Here is a 21,820-nt window from a genome sequence, read left to right as displayed (position 1 = left end):
AATAATGGGGCAGAGGGAAAGGGATGTCACTTGTGAGATTAGATTACAAAAAGTCTTTAGTTTCCATCTCTAGCACTTTCCCCTGATCTTTCATGGTGTGGGCAGTTCTTTCTCACGCATTCTCTCTCTCTCTGTCTCTCTCTTTCTCTCTCTCCCTTCCTCCCCCTCACTCCCCCCACCCCTGCCATCCACCCCACCTCACCTCTAATTTCCTCTTTCTTTCTCTCTGCCTTATTATTGCCTAGGGAAATCAAGCAGACATGTTGTGCTTGATCCTCTGTAGATGCCAACATTGCAGAAACTAAGGCCATAAGTCCAGCAGTCCACAAGAAATTGAATCCTTTGAATAATCATATAAGCATATCATTCAGTCCCAATTGACTCTTCAGATGACTGGACTCCTGGCCTGCATTACTATTCTAAATTGAAATTAATAGATAATAACCCATCTGCACAAAAAATTTCAAAAATTTATTAATGAAATGCTCTAATTATAAAGGAGAATAAAAGGGAATATTTTAATATAATGTAATATGATTTCAATATGTAAATATTCTTGCATAACTACACTTGAAGACAGATTGAAGCAGTCTAATGCTTGAATCTATTTGTGACTTCAAAATCAGACTGCTACAGTTGTTTTGCATTTTCAAATACCATACACAACATTTCTATTGTGATGTGATTTTGTGATTTTCCAAAATGACAAACAACTCTTGTTGCAATAAGACAAAACACCAATTTCCCTTCAAATATTGAGTAATGACAACTCTAGGATACAGTTATGGCAGCATATTGATTTTTTAAAAAATTTTATATGTAGGTTATTATTTATTAATTTCAGAATTGTAAAGCCGGCATAGAAAGTAATTATTATAAAAGAAGGGCACTAAGTCTAATAGGCTAGCCTAGAGAAAAATCTAAAATACAGAAAGAATGTTGAATCAACTTGGTGGGTGTTAAAGTATCAGCTCAGCAATTCAATATGAAAACATCAATATCTAACTGTATATAATTTAAGGAATTACTGGCCAGTAATCTATGTTTCTTCTTAACATAAACTTTGTAACCTTCACCTTGCAAGATATTGATTCCTTGTAATCTTTAACACAATAACCCCAATTATTGTTCTTCAACACCTTTCTGTATTACTCTGTCGTTAGTCAAGCTCTACTTCATTTAATAATACATTTTAATTCTGCTGTCTTTTTCTATATGTCAACCAGATGATTTATCAATCCAGATCCTTGCTAGAAAGAAGCTATATGACATTAATCCTTTAGAAATTCTGGAATATTTCTAATGTGCACCAAATATGAGCTGAGCATTAATTTTTTAATCATCTTTGAATAAGCAATGAGGAATATACTAGGATTAGAGTTGTCATAATGGGGTTGGTTTTGTTATAGTTGTATAAACTTCGGTGCTTTAATGTATTCATTGCTCTTCATTCAGTTTTTACTTTATAATTATTGATGGATTATGAATGTTACTATCTAGAGATGCTACACAATACAAAGCAGCAGAGCTATATAAATGTCTCCTGATAATCCAGTAGGCATTAGTGGATTAAGCAATTACTAAATACCATAACTAAAATGTAAGATGAACTTTTGCCTGTATTAGCAGGAGCAAAAAGGCAGGAAGGAAGGAGAAATGAAGGAAAATTAGGAAGAGAAAAAGATGTGGTATTTAATGCAAGGGCAATTGCTTTGAAAGCTTGATGACTCTGGTGGTTTTCAACTGGTCAATAGTGCTGAATAAGAAATACCCTAAGGTCATTTTCAGAAAAGCCTCCTAGTTTGCATTGCGTTGATATAAAACTCCATAACTCAAACCTGTAAAACTATACCCTGCGTTCAAAGGCAGAAAAAATCAAACCCATCCTTATTATGCACCGTTGACTTTCCGAGGTGCATAATAAGGAAATAACACCTTGCATTCTCTTTTGCTGTCAGGCTATGTTGGCTTGTCTGCAGCCCTTATGAAAGATAAAAATATTCAACTTGTCTTACCACCTTGTGCTAATGCTCCACATGCTCACAAGTCATTAAGATTTTATTTTCTTTCAGTTATCATCACAGTCAGTGTGGTATTCATGGAACTCTTTGTGTGATTTTCACACCTACTTATAGTTGTGAAACTGGTCACAGAATATGTCTCAACAGTTCATTTGCACATCCCTAGCTGAACCCCAATTTTAGCCTCCAAAGAAATTGTCATAAACTGTCCTCAGGATCTCACGCTATTCTTTCTCTTCCCAGTTTCAGCAAATGACTTGCTTTATTCATTTAAAAAACAGCAGCAACTGAATAGAAAGGTCCTCAACTTCCCTCCTCTACCTAAAAGTATAACTTTAGTTTTATCTATCTTTACCACCTTCCTTCCAATCTCAGTAAAGAAATAGTTTTACTCTGTTCTAAGGTTAAGCCTTCTCTATCTGTATAATCTTCAATTTATTCACCGTCTTCTGTAAAATTGTTTCTTAATTTTTTCTCACTCTAATTTATGCAATTTATCCCTCCCAGTTTCTTTTACTTCTTAGTCTACAAACACACACTCAAAATTCCCACCTACACACAAATTTCTTCACTCCAGCCTCCTCAAGCTACTCTTCTATCTCTACAATTTCCACCATTATTCATGTTTTAAAAAAATAGTAAGTCACTGTCTCCACTTAGTTTCTTCAATCCACTCAAATTTGTTTTGTTTTTTTTTTTGTTTCTAACAAAATTATTCCCAAACTTTACCATGCTCAATTAATTGCTTAACACTGTCATTCGCTAACACATTCTTCAGGTCTCATGCTTAGTATATGCTCAATAAAAATTTTATGGAATAAAGTAAAAATACTTGCAAATTTCTTGTTAAGCCAGTCAAAGATTTTGATAATCAGTCCCAAATATTTTTTCTAGTTCCATCTCTTGCTATTTCAAATGCTGTGTCTTCTATTTCAAATTGAGTATAGTCTGAGGTCTGAATCAGTCTTCACTGATTTGTTTTTGGAAGAATTTTCTTTTTCTTTTTGCCTATTAAGTCCTATGCAAAGGAATTAGAGAATAATAGCTAAGAACTTGGCATGAGATTTCACATCTCTTGAATTAAATTTTTACTGAGCAACGTATCATCTGTATTAATTGTCATTACCTACATATTTTTCAAGGATCATTTGAAATGTCCTCTATCATTATCACTACTAGGAGTGTGGAGGAGGAACACTCCTCTCTTAACGCTACCTAGAAACCCAGAAACTTTTGTCCCTCTTTGTCCTCATTAGATTGAAAATTTCTCTATGGCTAGAACTGTGTCCCACTGTTCTTGTTCTTCTCCCAACCTCTCCCATAGCCTCAAAGACAATACCTTCTATCTGAAAGTCACCGTGGTCTTCCTAAAGAGGGGCAAATTTGCCATTAGCCCTGTAAATGGAAGCTGGGAGAGATATCGGGAGATAGAGGTTGGTATGGCTCCCTCCAGTTTAAGAAAGACAAACAAAGAAAAAATGTAAGCCATTTCCTGAACAAAAAATCTTAATTTAGAAAATCAAAATTTTTCTTTAAACATATACTGTGATGGGTGAACTGTACCAAAATAAGTATATACCACCCTTGAGTGGGGAAGGATGGCATTAGCACCTTTTATCTGATGATGTAGTCAGAGTGTGAAGAAAGTCTAAAAATTCAAGTCTTCTACTCCAAGATGTTCACTGAAAAGCAAACTTGCGTACCTCTACAATACTTGGTTGCCACATCTCCTGACTTACACTGAGAAATAGGAGACAAGGAGATAAGGCAAAAATGAGTGAAGAGCCAGAGGGGTCGCTGAGTGAGGGGTGTTCATATAAGCAAGGAGATTGGTGGGTCAAACAGTCCATGGCATATAGTCACATATGACAATTTAAAAATGACAGTAGCTATTACTACCCTGGTAGTCTCTCAAGATAGTGATTGAGAGCTAGGGGACTGATCAAAGATGCAGTATATTTAAGAAGATGTGAATCAAATATCTAAGCAATCAGTCCAAATTGGCTTAATGTGAAGGTCTTTGGTACATACAATTAAAAGATTCAAGAGAGGAAACAAGGGAAGAACAAAGACCAAAATCTCAAAGTTGAGCTTGAGAAGTAGTGTCTACAGAATTACCCTAAGGTAACCAAACGGTAGCTGCCTTGACATTGTATGTGGTTCTTGTGGCTGGTGCCTGGGTTGTGTGAAGGAATTGACCTGTGCCTCTAAAATTAACTCCACCCAGCAAAACTATCCCCAGATTTTGTAGGAATTTCTACCTCAGAGTAGAAATGCATCGTTGTGTCTGAACTTCATCCTGGAATTTGCTTTAGTTTCTGGAAAAGAAAATAACTGGCAGAGCCTCAGTTTTGCTCTTTCGTGTATCTAATATTTAATTTAATACTTAAAATACTCCTCAAAGTAGAGAAATAAAGAAGGCAAAAATTATAGCTTTGGAAGGAGGAGGTATGAGTAAAGACAGTGAAGTTTGTCACTTTAATTTGAAGAATGGAAGCAGGGAATGTTTCTGGAAACAATAGGAACATAGCAAAAGAAATGGTTTGAATTGAGAGTTGGAGCCCTAGCAATGGCTAACAAAAGCTGGACACTCGTGAAGTATAAACAGAGGTTGAGGTGAGGTTCTACCTATGACACTGGAGGCCAGTAGTGAGCCGTGTCCTCCTGCAATCACATGCCAACATGACGTACGGTCTGGCAAGTTTTTGGTTGTGGTTGGGTTGTGTGCTATATCTCATCTGAGAGACCATTCAAATTGTTAAGCAAGTGGAAATGAGTGTTTAGGAGTTCTGGTTCTATGAGTAACACTGGACTTTGAATCCTGGATCTGCATTCTTTTGAGTGTAAGATATAAAAGAAGTTAAGAAGTATGATTTTGGAGAAATGTGTAACAGTGATGGATGGTACACATTAATTAACGTCTGGGAGCCAAGACACCCTAATGTTGGACCTTTCTAACTGAGCCAACTCAGAGAAGAGGAGAGTTCCTTCTGCTCATTCCTAAAGTGACTGTCATTTTCTGACCACTTCAGTAATATTATTAAATCTAAAGAGTTGAGTAGTCTCAGAGTAATTGAGGCCATAGGCAGCTTCACAGTCTTAGAAGGCTGAAGCCAACAGCATGAAACAGCTTTGACAATTTCATGATGGCTTGAAAGACATGACTTGAAGAATTTATAAACAATTGTCAAGGAAACAAAGTATTAGCAAACGAAAGTCCTATTAACTGCTTATTTGACTTTGTTTTTAATCAAAGTTGAAGAATATCTGAATTGCTTACATGATCAAGTTTAGTCTTTGTAATAACTCTATGAAGTATATAATATAGTCTCGATGGCATAGAAAATTAAGGATGAAAATAGTGAAAGAAACATACCCATAATCACAAAACTTGTAAAACAAGAGCAAGGTTTTAGACTGAACTTTTTTTTCTCTATGTCTGCCATTCTGTCTCTCACCTACTGTTGGGTTGATAGAGCTATCACATGCACATGAAGCTAAAAAAACTGCATTTCTTTGAAAATGTCCTTTTGCCCAGCCATTTCCTGAGCCTTCTCAGTCTTATCCAGCAAGCTGCATTGAGATATCTAACTCTGCTGCAATTTTCAGCAATTTGCATGTTCTATGACTGTTTGGTGAGATAGTCTGGAAGTCATGCCCAGATGACATCTCTGCTGTTTAACAGGAAATATTGTCTCTCTTTTAACTTTGTATGTCTTCAGCCAAATAGTTTTACTTCTCCAAATTTAACTGAACAACAAGGCAATCATTAGCTACAAAGATGCATGCTATCTAAACTTGTTTTGTTTTTGCTTCTGTTTTCTTAAATCAACCTAAAACAATTAATCTCTGTTGGACAATGCCTTTGCCCTTTGAAAATTTGCTCTTTCTTTCTTTTTTTTTTTTTTTTTTGAGATGGAGTCTCGCTCTGTCGCCCAGGCTGGAGTGCAGTGGCGCGATCTCGGCTCATTGCAAGCTCCACCTCCTGGGTTCACGCCATTCTCCTGCCTCAGCCTCCTGAGTAACTGGGACTACAGGCGCCCGCCACTACGCCCGGCTTATTTTTTTTGTTTTTTTGTATTTTTAGTAGAGACGGGTTTCAGTGTGTTAGCCAGGATGGTCTCCATCTCCTGACCTCGTGATCCGCCCGCCTCGGCCTCCCAAAGTGCTGGGATTACAGGTGTGAGCCTGTAATTCGGCCACACCCGGCCGAAAATTTGCTCTTTCTTAAGCATCACAATGGCTTAAAAAAGGGAATGATGTGTTGCCCCTGCTGCCCACCCAAAAATTTTAAAAAAAGCACTTTGGGTCCTTGATACGGTTTGGATTTGTGTCCCTACCCAAATCTCATGTCGAATTGTATTCCCCAGTGTTGGAAGAGGGGCCTGGGGGGAGGGGATTGGATCACTGGGGTGGACTTCCCTCTTGCTATTCTCATAAGAGTGAGTTCTCATGAGATCTGGTTGTTTAAAAGTGTGTAGCACCTCACCCTTCTCTTTCTTCCTCATTCTTTGGCCATGTAAGATGCGCCTGCTTCCCCTTCACCTTATGCCATAATTTTAAGTTTTCTGAGGCCTCCCCAGCCATCCTTCTGGTACAGCCTGTGGAACTATGAGTCAATTAAACCACTTATCTTTGTAAATCACCCAGTGTTTTAGTCAGGGTTCTCTAGAAGGACAGAACTAATAGGATAGATACATATACAAAAGGGAGTTCATTAGGAGAATTGACTCTCACAATCACGAAGTCCAATAGGCTGTCTGCAAGCTGAGGAGCCAGGAAGCCAGTCTGAGTTCCAAAACCACAAAAGGAGGGAAACCAATAGTGCAGCCTTCAGTTTGTGGCTGAAGGTCTGAGAGCCCCTGGCAAATCACTGGTATAAATGCAAGAGTCCAAAATCTGAAGAACCTGGAGTCTGATGTCCCAGGGCAGGAAACATCTAGCATGGGAGAAAGACGGAGTCCAGAAGACTTAGCCAGTCTAGTTTTCCACCTTCTTCTACCTGCTTTTATTCTGGCCATGCTGGCAGCTGATTAGATTGTACCCACTCAGATTAAGGGTGGGTTTGCCTTTCCCAGTACACTGACTAAAATGTTAATCTCTTTTGGCGACACCCTCAAAGACACACCCAGGAACAATACTGTGTATCCTTCAATCCAATCAAGTTGACAAGCAATATTAACCATCACAGCCAGTCTCTGGTAGTTCTTTATAGCAGCGTGAGAATAGACTAATGCAGCACTCATTCCAGATATCTCATTTTCCCCACAGTTCCCTACTTTGAGGTATGCTATGTAATCATCTTACTTGAGTAGCTAAATTGAGCCAGAAGCTCTTTCAGGCACATTTGGGTGGATGGTAGCATGCATTAGAAAAATATGCATGCCTCATAGTTAGACTTTATTTTGAATCCCAATCTTCACTCTTTATGGTAGTGTGACCTGAAGCAAGTCAAAACCTCTAGAAATTCCAGTTTCTTTATTTGTATAATGTCTCCTATGAGAGGGGCAGAGGAGATGGCCAAATAGAAGCTTCCACCAATTGTCTCCCCAACATGAACAACAAATTTGACAACTGTCTACACATAAAAGCACCTTCATAAGAACCAAAACAGCTGAGAAAATGTAGCCCCAGTTTTACCTTCATATTGCTGAAAAGGGCACTGAAGAGGGTAGGAAAAACAGTCTTGAATCACTGATATCACTTCTCCCCCATCTCCTGGCAGTGACTGGGTGGTATGAAAAGAGATTCTGAGGGTTTGGAGGAGGGAGAACACAATGCCTGTGGACTGTGCATTGAACTCAGGGCAGCCCTGTAACAGCGGAAAGAAAAACCTGGCTGAACTCGGCCAATGCCTGTCCACGAGGGAGCATTTAGACCAGCCACAGCCAAAGGGGAATGGCTCATCCCAGCAATCAGATCTTGAGCTTTGGCAAGCCTTGACACCATGAGCTAAAGTGCTCTGGAGTTGTAAATAAACTTGAAAGGGAGTCTAGGCTACAAGGACTGCAACTCATAGGCAAGCCCTAGAGCTGTACTCAGCTGGGAGCCAGTGGACTTGGCAAGCATATGACCTAATGAGACATCAGCTGGAGTTGCTAAAGGAGTGCCTGCACCACCCCTCCTCACACCCCAGTTAGTACAGTTCACAGCAATGAAAGCGACTCCTTCTTCTGCTTGAGGAGAGGAGAGAGAACAGTAAAGAGGACTTTGTCTTTCATCTTGGATACAAGCTCAGCCACAATAGCATAGAACACAGGGCAGAGTCACGAGGCCCCCATTCCAGGCCCCAGTTCCCAGACAACATTTCTAGACACACATGGGGTGAGAAGGAAACTCCTTGCCTTGAAGGGAAAGATCCAATCCTGGCAGAATTCATCACCTGCTGACTGAAGAGCCCATGGGCTCTGAATAATCAGCATTGATATCCCAATAATACCTTGTGGGCCTTCAGTGAGACTCTGAGACATACTGGCTTCAGGTGAGACCCAGCACAGTTCCAGATGTGGCTATGGGGCGAGATTCCTTCTGCTTTAGAAAAGCACAGGGAAAAGTAAAGGGGACTTTGTCTTGCACTTTAGGTACCAGTTCAGTCACAGTGGTGTAGAGAACCAAGTAGCCTCTTGGGGACCTGGATTTCAGGCCTCAACACTTGGAAGGCATTTCTGGACCTGCCTTGGGCCAAAGGGGGGCCCACTACCCTGAAGAATGTGTCCCAGGCCCAGCATTCTTCACTACAATCTAACTGAAGAACCCTCATGCCTATGTGAACTTCAGTGATAGCCTGACAGTACTCCCCAATGGCCTGTGGGGGTGTTGGCCCAGGGGATGGTTTCTCTGCTTGTGGGAAGGGGACAGAAGAGCAGGAAGGACTTTGTATTGTGGTTTGAGTGTTAGCTTAGCCAGAGTAGTATAGAATACTAGGTAGGTTTCTTAAGTTTTTGATTCCAGTCCCTCCCCCAGATGACATCTTTGCCCAGAGCCTGGGGGAAATCACCACCCTGAAGGGAAGAACATAAGCCTGGCTCGCTTCACCACCTGCTTATTGTAGAGCCCTAGGGCCATCAGTGAACATACATGGTAACCAGGTAGTGGTCACAGCAGGTCTTGGGTGAGAAATAGTGCTGTGCTGGGTTCAGGAATGACCCAGCACTGTCCCAGTGGTGGTGGCCACAGGGAGGTTTGTGTCACCCAATCCCTACTCCACGTGGCTCAGAACAGAGAGAGGGACTTCGTTTGGGAGAAAGTGAGGGAACAGAACAAGAGTTTCTGTCTGGTAATTCAAGAATTCTCCTAGATCTTAGCCAAAACCACCAAGACTCCTCTATGAGTCTTCATGAACCACGGACTTACTAAGGTTGAGGTTTCCCCTAATGCAGATATGGATTAGATCACAACATCCAAATACCTTCAAATACCTAAAGAGCCTTCAAAGAAATATGGGTACAAAAAGCCCATACTAAGAACAGTATAATAAATACCTAATTCCTCAAAGCTCAGAAGCTGATGAATATCCACAAGCAACAAGACCATCCGGGAAAACATGACTGATAAAACTATCTCAACAAGGCCTCAGCGACCAATCCTGGAGAAACAGAGATATGTGACCTTTCAGATGGAGAATTAAAATAGCTGTTTTGAGGAAACACAATGAAATTCAAGATAAGACAGAGAAGTAATTCAGAAATCTATCAAATAAATTTAACTAAGAGATTGAAATAATTAGAAAGGATTAAGCAGAAATTCTAGAGTGGAAATGCAATTGACATAATGAAGAATCCATTGAGTCTTTTAATAGCAGAATTGATCACACAGAAAAAAAGAGTTAGTGAGCTTGAAGACAGGCTATTTGAAAATACACAGTCAGAGAAGACAAAAGGAAAAAGAATAGAAAACAATGAAGCATGTCTACAAGATCTAGAAAACAGACTCAAAGGGGCAAATCTAAGAGTTATTGGCATTAAAGATGAGATGCATAAAGAAATAGGGGTAGAGAGTTTATTCAAAAAGATAGTAACAGAGAACTCTCCAACATAGAGAAAAATATTAATATTCAAGTACAAGAAGGTTATAGAACACAAAGCAGATTTAACCCAAATAAAACCACCTCAAGACATATAATAATTAAACTCACAAATGCCAAGGACAAAGAAAGAATCCTAAAAGCAGCAAGAAAATGGAAACAAATAACACAATGGAGCTCCAATACGTCTGGCAGTAGACTCTTCAGTGGAAATCTTACAGGCCAGGAGAAAGTGGCATGACATATGTAAAGTGCAGAAGGAAAACAAATTTACCCTAGCAGAGTATATCTGCCTAACATATCCTTTAAACATGAAGGGGACATAAAGACTTTCCAAGAAAAGCAAAAGCTGAGGGTTTTATCAACATCAGACCTATCTTACAAGTAATGCTAAAGAGAGTTATTCAATCTAAAATAAAAGATTGTTAATGAACAATAAAAAATCATCTGAAGGTACAAAACTCACTGGCAATAATAAATACAGAGACAAGCAGAATATTATAACACTGTAATGTGATATGTAAACTACTCATATCTTAAGTAGAAAGACAAAAAATGGACCAATCAAAAATAACTACAACAACTTTTTAAGATGTAGACAGTGCAAGAATATAGAAATAGAAACAACAAAAACTTAAAAAGCAGGAAAATGAAGTTAAGGTGTAGAAGTTTTATTAGTCTTCTTTTTGCTTGTTTGTTAGTTTGTTTAGGCAATCAGTGTTAAGTTGTCATCACTTCAAAATAATGGGTTATGAGATAGTATTTGCAAGCATCATGGTAAGCTCAAATAAAAAAATATAACAGATACACAAAAAATACAGAAAAAGAAATTAAAACATATCAACAGAGAATATCACCTTCATTATAAAGAAGACAGGATGAAAAGAAAGACCACAGAACAACCAGAAAACAAATAACAAAATGGCAGAAATAAATCCTTACTTATCTGTAATAACATTCAATGTAAATTGATTAATCTCTGTAATCAAAAGACACAGAGTGGCTGAATGGATTTAAAAACAACCCAATGATCTGTTGCCTACAAGATACACACTTCACCTATAAAGATATACATACTGAAAATAAAGGGATGCAAAAATATATTCCATGCCAATGGAAACCAAAAAAGAGCAGAAATAGCTATATTTATGTCAGATAAAATAGATTTCAAGACAAAAACTATAAGGAGAGACAAACAAGGTCAGTATATAATGATAAAGGGATCAATTCAGCAAGAGGATATAACAATGGTAAAAATATACATACCCAACACTTGAGCACCCAGATATATAAAACGAATGTTATTAGAGCTAAAGAAAGAGATAAACCTCAGTACAATAATAGGTGGAGACTTTGACATCCACTTTCAGCATTGGACAGGGCATCCAGACAGAAAATTAACAATGAAATATTGGACTTAATCTGGAGTATAGACCAAATGGACCTAATAGTTACTTACAGAACATTTCATCCAATGTCTGAAAACATACACATTTTTCTCCTTAGCACATGGATCATTCTCAAGGATAGAACATCTGTTAGGTCACAAAACAAGCCTTTAAATGCTCCAAAAAATTAAATAATATCAAGCATCTTCTCTGACCACAATGAAATAAAATTAGAAATCAATAACAAGAGAAATTTTGGAAATTATACAAACACATGAAAATTAAATGATATGCTCCTGAATGACCAGAGAGTCAATGAATAAGAAGTAAATTGAAAAATTTATTGAAACAAATGATAGGGGAACTACAACATATCAAAAGCTATGAAATACTATGAAAGCAGTACTAAGAGGAACGTTTATCACTAAAAGTTGCTACATCATAAGAAAAATTCTCAATAAAAAACCTAAAAAAGCATCTTAAAGAACTAGAAAAGCAAGAACAAACCAAATCCAAAATTAGGAGAAGAAAAGAAATAATAAAGATCAAAGCAGAAATGATTTCTATCAAGTATTTAAAGAAGAACTAATACCAATCCTTCTGAAATTATTCCAAAAAAGTAGAGGGGGAGGGAATACTTCCAAACTCACCTTACAAGGCCAGTATTACCTGATACCTAAACCAGAATAAGGCACATCAAAAAAAAAAAAAAAAAAGAAAGAAAGGAAAGCAAAGAAAACGACAGGCCAATATCACTGACAAATATTGATGCAAAAATCCTCAACAAAATATTAGCAAACTGAATTCATCAACATATTATAAAGATCTTTCATCATGACCAAATGGGATTTACTCCAAATGGCAAGGACAGTTCAACATACACAAATCAGCAATGTGGTATATCCTCTCAGCGATATAAAAGACAAAAAAAAAACATATTATCATTTCCACTGATGCTAAAGAAGCATTGGATGAAAGCCAACATCCCTTCACAATAAAAACCCTAAGAAAACTGGGTATATGCCTGTAGTCTCAGCACTTTGGGAGGCTGAAGTGAGAGGACTGCTTGAGCACAGGAGGTTGAGACCAGCCTGGGCAACATGGCAAGACCCAGTTTCTACCAAAAAATTAAAAATAAAAATAAATTAGCTGGACATGGTAGCCCGTGCCTGTGGTCTCAGCCACTCAGCAGTTGGAGGTGGCATGATCACCTGAGCGTGGAAGGTTGAGGCTGCAGTGAGCCATGACGAACCACTGCACTTGGGCCTGGCTGACAGAGAAAGATCCTGTCTCAAAATAACAAAAAATGAGTACAAAGGGAACATACCCCAGCATAATAAAAACCATATATGACAGACCTGAAGTTAGTATCAAAAGACTGGGGAAAACCTGAAAGCCTTTTCTGTAAGTTCTAGAACACAATAAGGATGCCCATTTTCACCACTGTTATTTAACAGAGTACTGGAAGTCCTAGATACAACAATCAGACAAGAGAAAGATATGAAGGGCATCCAAATTGGAAAGAAAGACATCAAGTTATTGTTGTTTACAGATAATATAATTTATATTTGGGAAAAACTAAAGACTCCACCAAAAAAACTATTAGAATTGATAAATGGATTCAATAAAATTGCAGGATATAAAATCAACATTCAAATAGATCCCATTTGTCTATTTTGGCTTTTGTAGCCATTGCTTTGGTGTTTTAGTCATGAAGTCTTTGCCCATGCCTATGCCCTAAATGGTATTGGCTAGGTTTTCTTCTAGGGTTTTTATGGTTTTAGGTCATACATTTATGTCTTTAATCCATCTAGAGTTAATTTTTGTATAAGGTGTAAGGAAGAGATCCAGTTTCAGCTTTCTGCATATGGCTAGCCAGTTTTCCCAGCACCATTTATTAAATAGGGAATCCTTTCCCCATTGCTTGTTTTTGTCAGGTTTGTCAAAGATCAGATGGTTGCAGATGTGTGGTGTTATTTCTGAGACCTCTGTTCTGTTCCATTGGTCTATATATCTGTTTTGGTACCAGTACCAAGCTGTTTTGGTTACTGTAGCCTTGTACTATAGTTTGAAGTCAGGTAGTGTGATGCCTCCAGCTTTGTTTTTCTTGCCCACGATTGTCTTGGTTTTGAGGGCTCATTTTTGGTTCCATATGTAATTTATAGTAGTTTTTTCCAATTCTGTGAAGAAAGTCAGTGGTAGCTTGATGGGGATAGCATTGAATCCATAAATTACTTTGGGCAGTATTGCCATTTTCATGATATTGATTCTTCCTATCCATGAGCATGGAATGTTCTTCCACTTGTTTGTGTCCTCTTTTATTTCCTTGAGTAGTAGTTTGTAGTTCTCCTTGAAGAGGTCCTTCACATCCCTTGTAAGTTGGTTTCCTATATATTTTATTCTCTTTGTAGCAATTGTGGATGGGAGTTCACTCATGATTTGGCTCTCTGTTTGTCTGGTATTGGCATATAGGAATGTTTGTGATTTTTGCACATTGATTTTGTATCCTGAGACTTTGCTGAAGTTGCTTATCAGCTTAAGGAGTTTTTGGGCTGAGACGATGGGGTTTTCTAAATATACAATCATGTCATCTGCAAACAGAGACAATTTGACTTCCTCTTTTCCTAATTGAATACCCTTTATTTCTTTCTCTTGCCTGATTGCCCTGGCCAAAACTTCCAATACTATGTTGAATAGGAGTGGTGAGAAACGGCATCCTTGTCTTGTACCTGTTTTCAAAGGGAATGCTTCCAATTTTTGCCCATTCAGTATGATATTGCCTGTGGGTTTGTCATAAATAGCTCTTATTATTTCAGATACATTCCATCAATACCTAGTTTACTGAGGTTTTAGCATGAAGGGCTGTTGAATTTTGTCAAAGGTCTTTTCTGCATCTATTGAGAAAATCATGTGGTTTTTGTTGTTGGTTCTGTTTATGTGATGGATTACATTTATTGATTTGCATATGTTGAACCAGCCTTGCATCCCAGGGATGAAGCCAACTTGATTGTGGTGGGTAAGTTTTGGACGTGCTGCTGGATTCAATTTGCCAGTGTTTCATTGAGGATTTTCGTGTTGATGTTCATCAGGGATATTGGCCTAAAATTTTCTTTTCTTTTTTTTTTTTTGTTTTTGAGACAGAGTCTCGCTCTGTCACCCAGGCTGGAGTGCAGTGGCGCGATTTCTGCTCACTGCAAGCTCCACCTCCCGGGTTCACGCCATTCTTCTTCCTCAGCCTCCCGAGTAGCTGGGACTACAGGCGCCCGCCACCATGCCCGGCTAATTTTTTTTTCTTTTTTGTATTTTTAGTAGAGACGGGGTTTTGCCATGTTAGCCAGGATGGCCTCGATCTCCTAACCTCGTAATCCACCCGCCTTGGCCTCCCAAAGTGCTGGGATTACAGGCGTGAGCCACCATGCCCGGCCTAAAATTTTCTTTTGTGTGTGTGTCTCTGCCAAGTTTTTGTATCAAGATGATGCTGTCCTCATAAAATGAGTTAGGAAGGATTCCCTCTTTTTCTATTAATTGGAATAGTTTCAGAGGAATGGTACCAGCTCCTCTTTGTACCTTTGGTAGAATTCAGCTCTGAATCCGTCTGGTCTTGGACATTTTTTGGTTGGTAGGCTATTAATTATTGCCTCAATTTCAGAACCTGTTATCGGTCTATTCAGAGATTCGACTTTTCTTCCTGGTTTAGTCTTGGGAGGGTGTATGTGTCCAGGAATTTATTCATTTCTTCTAGATTTTCTAGTTTATTTGCATAGAGATGTTTATAGTATTCTCTGATGGTAGTTTGTATTTCTGTGGGATCAGTGGTGACATCCCGTTTATCATTTTTTATTGCGTTTATTTGATTCTTGTCTCTTTTCTTCTTTATTAGTCTGGCTAGCAGTCTATCGATTTTCCTGATCTTTTCAAGAAACCAGCTCCCGGATTCGTTGATTTTTTGAAAGGTTTTTTTGTGTCTCTATCTCCTTCAGTTCTGCTCTGATCTTAGTTATTTCTTGTCTTCTGCTAGCTTTTGATTTGTTTGCTCTTACTTCTCTAGTTCTTTTAATTGCGATGTTAGGGTGTCAATTTTAGATCTTTCCTGCTTTCTCTTGTGGGCATTTAGTGCTATAAATTTCCCTCTACACATTACTTTAAATGTGTCCCAGAGATTCTGGTATGTTGTGTCTTTGTTCTCATTGATTTCAAAGAACATCTTTATTTCTGCCTTCATTTCGTTATGTACCCAGTAGTCATTCAGGAGCAGGTTGTTCAGTTTCCATGTAGTTGTGCAGTTTTGAGTGTAACACAAGAAGAGAAAATCAAACACTGCATGTTCTCACACATAAGTGGGAATTGAACAATGAGAACACATAGACACAGGGAGGGGATCATCACACACCAGGGCCTGTCAGGGGGCTCGGGGCTCGGGGAGGGATAGTATTAGGAGAAATACTTAGTGTAAATGACGAGTTGATGGTTGCAGCAAACCAACACAGCACATGTATACCTGTGTAACAAACCTGCACACTGTGCTCATGTACCCCAGAACTTAACATATAATAAAAAAGTCAACATTCAAAAATCAGTAGCATTTCTGTATCCAGCAATAGATATAGAACAAACTGAAAAAGAAATAAAAAAGTAATCCCATTTACAATAGCCAAAAATAAAATTAAATAGCTAGGAATCAACTCAACCAAAGAAGTGAAAGATCTCTATAATGATAACTATAAAGCACCGATGAAAGAAATTGAAGAGGACACACAAAAGTGGAGATACTTTATGTTCATGGATTGGAAGAATCAATATTATTAAAATGTCCATACCTCCCAAAGCAATCTACAGATTCAATGAAATCTCTATCAAAATACCAATGACATTCTTCACAGAAATAGAAAAAAAAATCCTAAATGTATATGGAACCACAAAAGACCCAGAATAGCCAAAGCTATCCTGAGCAAAAAGAACAAAACTGGAGGAAACACATTACCTGACTTCAAATTATACTATTGAGCTATAATAACCAAAACAGCATGGTACTGGAATAAAAACAGATACATAGACCAATGGAACAGAATAGAGAACCCAGTAACAAATCCACACACCTAGAGTGAACTCATTTTTGACAAAGTTTCCAAGAAAATACACTGACTAAAAGGTAGTCTCTTCAATAAATAATGGTGCTGGGAAAACTAGATATCCATATGCAGAAGGATGAAACTAGAGCCCTATCTCTTGCCATACACAAAAATCAAATTAAAATGGATTAAAGACATCTAAGACCTCAAACTACAAAACTACTATCAGAAAACGTCCTGGAAAATTTCCAGGACATTGGAGTAGGTAAAGATTTATTAAGTAATACCCCACAAGTTCAGGCATCAAAGTAAAAACAAACAAATGGGTTCCCATCAAGTTAAAAAGCTTCTGCACAGCAAAGGAAACAATCAACAAAGTGAAGAGACAACCGATAAAATAGGAGGAAATGATCACAAACTACTCATCTGACAAGGGATTAATAATTAGAACATATAAGGAGTTCAAACAACTCTATAGAAAAATATCTAATAATGTGATTAAAAATTGGCAAAACATCTGAGTAGACATTTATTAAAAGAAGGCATGCAAATGGCAAAACCGGTTTGTGAAAAAGTCCTCAACATCACACTGATCTTCAGAGAAAGGCAAATCAAAACTACAAAGAGATGTCATCTCACCCAAATTAAAATGGATTATATCCACAAGACAGGCAGTAACAAACACTGATGAGGATGTGGAGAAAGGAAACTCGTGGACACTGTTGGTGGGAATGGAAATTAGTACAACCACTATGGAGAACAGTTTGGAGGTTTCTCAGAAAAGTAAAAATAAAGCTATCATATGAACCAGCAGTCCCACTACTAGGTATATACCCCAAAGAAAGGAAATCAATATATTGAAAAGGTATCTGCACTCCCATGTTTGTTGTAGCACTATTCACAATAGCCAAGATTTGGAAGCAACCTAAGCATCCATCAATAGATGTATGGATAAAGAAAATGTGGTACTTATACACAGTGGAGTACTATTTAACCATAAAAAGAATGAGGTTCTGTCATTTGCAAAAACATGGATGGAACTGGAGGTCATTCTATTAAGTGAAATAAGCAAGACACATAAAAACAAACCTCACATGTTCTCACTTATTTATGGCAGCTAAAATTTAAAACAAATGAACTCAGGGATATAGAGAGTAGAAATATGGTTAGCAGAGACTGTGAAGGTTAGTGGGAGGGTTTGGAGGAGGTGGGGATGGTAAAAGGGTACCAAAAAATAGGAAAAATGGATAAGACCTAGTATTTGAGAACACAATAGGGTAAATGTATTCAATAATATTTTAATCATTCATTTTAAAATAACTAAAAGAACATAATTGGATTTTTTGTAACGCAAAAGATAAATGCTTGAGTTGATATATACCCCATTTACCCTGATGTTATGACACATTACATTTCTGTATCAAAATATCTCATGTGTCTCATAAATATATACAATGATTATATACCCACAGAAATTAAAAATTAAAAAAAACATTTTAAAGTTTAAAAAATTAAAAAATAGCCCCTACTACTAACATGAAATTCTAAAGACAAAATATTCTGTAGAGAAGGTAATGCATTAATTCGTATCATCTATTGACACCTTAATTAGAATCTCCAAACTTTTCTGGTTGGATAAATAAGCTGAAAGTTTTTTCCTAAACAATAAATCCCATTGTACATATTTTGAGAGAAGGGAGGGTAGAGAGAACTCTACTTTAGGGACATTGCTGAAGAACTGCTCTGTGAGGGGTGGGCTTTTGGAGGGGCCTTGAGCAGCAGAGAGGCATCATCAAGCCCCAGCAAGAGGTAAGGGGAGGGCCTAGCAGAAAACAAACAAACAAACAAACAAAAAAACAAGTGTCCTAAAAAGTGTAGAGAGGTATGGGTGAGTAGTAGTATTTTTTTCTGCTAAGGGCACAAAAAATGCTCTTTAGAATAATAGCAGGTTAAATATTAATGTGTTTACCCATTGTATATCTCCTGCAGTGGACCATAACCTACATGATTGACACAGTTTTCATTCACCTCTATGTCTTTCACATCTACCACAGACCTGGAACTTAGTAGGTACTTATTAAATATTTACTATATTAATAAATAAACAACAAGCTTCTATTAATTAGGCACTAATGAGTACCTAACTCTGTGTTAACCTGTGTATCCATAGTCCCATTTAATCTTTACAACTACCCTTTAATGCAGGCACTGTCTTTGTTTATAAACAAAGAAACTGAGGCAAAAGGAGTTTAAAACTTTTACCAAGGTCACATAGCTAATAAGCAAATAAATCAAGATTTAAACCCAGGTCTATCCAGCTCTAATCCATTCTTTTTCCATTATACCTTACTGAACAAATAGCTACATGATGCCTCCATAGCAGACATTACTGTTCATATCCCCCTCAGAATTCACCTCTAAAGGATGAAGCCTTCCTACTGCAATTACTTAAGGACTATTCCTATTTTTATGGCTGAGAGAGCATGCTTGGCTTGCATATAAGCCAGAAGTGCCAGAAAATTGTTGTCCTACAAACAGTCATCAAATCAATGACAGTCGGAGTGTTAGAGAAAAAAAAAATGCCAACTTTTTCATCGTTTGGTTGGGTAACCCTGAGGCATGGTCTGTCCTATCTCCCATAAGTCCTCAGTAGACTTGAGCCCAGTTGTCCACAGGGGCCACCCACTAGATAACATCCACTTTACTGACCTTGTGCCATTCTCTGATTTACTTGCCCACTACGCTTTTGGTACTTTCAGAAATCACCTTCCAAATAAACTACTTATACCCAAACCATTTTCTCAGGGTCTTCTTTTAGAGAACTGAAATTAAGACAGTCTCTCTCAGTGATCCCTGGGACTCCTCATGGTTTTAGCTCTGGAACAGGCTCTTGGGGACAGCTGAGCTTAGGTTACTGGGAATCAAAGAAATGAGAAAGGATTAATGACCTGGCACCACTCTGCCACACCTCATTGGGATATGCACATTTCTTTATCAGTCTCAGTCTGAATATATCCTCACTTATACACAAAGGCTTTTTAATACTTCGGGCGTTTTCAAGACCCATCCATGTCAGGATGCTTTAATAGTATCCAACGGGAGGCAAAGGTATAATTTCTCTTAAGGATTTTAAAATTCTATTTTGTAATAGTAATAAAATATGCTGAGAGAATATTTCTAAGAACTGACTGACTTTGAACACTGTCTGGCAATATGTAGAGCTTATAACGATCACCTAAAAATGCACTCTGTATCAATTCCTTTTGCTTATAGACTTCGCCACAAAATATGATATTTTTATTCACATTTACAACATTATTGAGGTTTCCAGAGTGTTTTATATTCAGCCATTTCATTAACATCTATCTTTCTTGAACTTTATTATTGATCCATAAGTAAGTAATTCTACCTTTCAGCAGAGTTTATAGATCAGCCAGAGAAATAAACTCAGGAGTATAATCAGGGTACATTCAGTTTAATTTTCTACTGAGGTTTGGGAAATTAAACCATACCCTATTAGTTCCATTTTCCCAACGAAATTTTTTTGAAGAAACTTGGTTGACAGACAACCAATGTTAAAATAGATTATCTAAGAACCAGACTGATGTAGAAGGAAATTTTAACATGAATAGGAAGAAAACAAATACAAGTGTGGGCTTGTGAGTAACCCGGGACAAGAACATTTAATCAGAGTGCAGTCGCAGATTTTCATTCCGTCAGAGCCACAAGTCTGCTTGCTCACCCCTGATTTCAGGGCCTGACTCAGTGCCAGGCCCAGAAGGGGTACTAAAGTATTTGTTAAACTAATTAATAAGTGACAAGAAAATGTGTGTGTGTGTGTGTGTTATTTAAAAACATTGGCCCATTTTTAAAGGTGTTCATGGTATACTAGAAAATGAGTGTGTTTTATTTAAAAACATGGGCCCATTTTTAAAGGCATCCATGGTAAAGCAGAAGCTCAGAGAGGAAAGAAACTCCGTTTGTTAATGTCAGGCTACTTATGTTTTATTTCTGCAAAGGTTTCAAGAAATAACATACCTCTCTTGTGAAAAGCAAATGTTTTCCCTAATTTCAGCAAAAGACTTTCATAAGGAAAAATAGCAATAAGTGGCCCAATCATCATTCAATGACTGCCCTTTAGATGAAGGCTAGCTCCCAGCACACTAAAAGGAATATCTCCAATAAAATTAAACTCAGGCTTCTGGAGCAATTGCCTTGAACCATTTTTCTTTACCCTATCCTTGCTTTTGTGCCCCATTCCTTCCTATTCGGCTTTTAATCTTCTTGAGTGTCTACTAAGTTCTGGAAGAGATTCACCTGAGATTTTTAATACCCATTAATGCACAAAATGCAGCCTAAATCAAAGAGCATGATACTCCAATTAAACAGAATGTATTAACTAATGAGGGGAAAAAACGATCTATGCCAGGTCATTTTGCTTCAGTGGTAGACTCTTAAGTTCTTTTAAGTTCTTGTGCTTTCTTGATGTGGAAATATTTAAGTGGATTTACCCTGTCCACAATAGTTTCACCTCAATAGAAAACTGTATCACTAGGGAACATTCTAATTTGTTTTATTATTATATTTTTCTATTTTTCAATACAGTTGTTCACAGTTATTTTGAATTTCTCCATGAACTTCAACAATAAATTATTCTCAGTATCTTTCCTGCTTTTGTAAAGCAGGAGAGACTGCTGTGAAGAAGTAGGACCTTTTTAAACCAAACCACCCAAACAAATGACACAGAGAAGTGTTGACATGAGCTCAGTGCTGAGTGCATAATACACATTTAATATATAATTTGAATTAAATTGAATTAATTTATTTGAAGTGCTGTCCTCTGGTTTTGCATTTTTCCTCACTTCTTTGACTTAAAAGATAATAACTTGTAGATTTCTATTCAGCCAAATAATTTATATATGCCTGTTCTTCCTGGAAAAAAAATGTTTTGACATTCTCTGCTACTTACATGGGCTCATTTTGCATATATGCCTTTTGATCATTTTTTTAAAGGAACACCATTTAGAAATAAATTTTCTCTTGTTTAATCCCAACACAAAGATTGTTAGAGCTTATGATCCAAATATAAACAATGGTAGAGTCTTTTGAATGTTTTATACCAGTTGTCCATTATTAAAGAGTTATGCAGCACTAAAAATAATTAGGATGCAAAATCAAAATAGCTTTGCATGCGTTATTGGTGTCTGGTATTTCTCATTGTTATTATGAGTAACACAGATGGAACAAACAATATTGTTGCTTTCATGCTAGCTATTTATTTATTTATTTATTATTATTTTGTTTTGAGACAGGGTCTCA

The sequence above is a fragment of the Homo sapiens genome, chromosome 11 (assembly GCF_000001405.40).
Source record: "Homo sapiens chromosome 11, GRCh38.p14 Primary Assembly".
Taxonomy (NCBI): Eukaryota; Metazoa; Chordata; class Mammalia; order Primates; family Hominidae; genus Homo; species Homo sapiens.
This window is presented reverse-complemented; position numbering follows the sequence as displayed.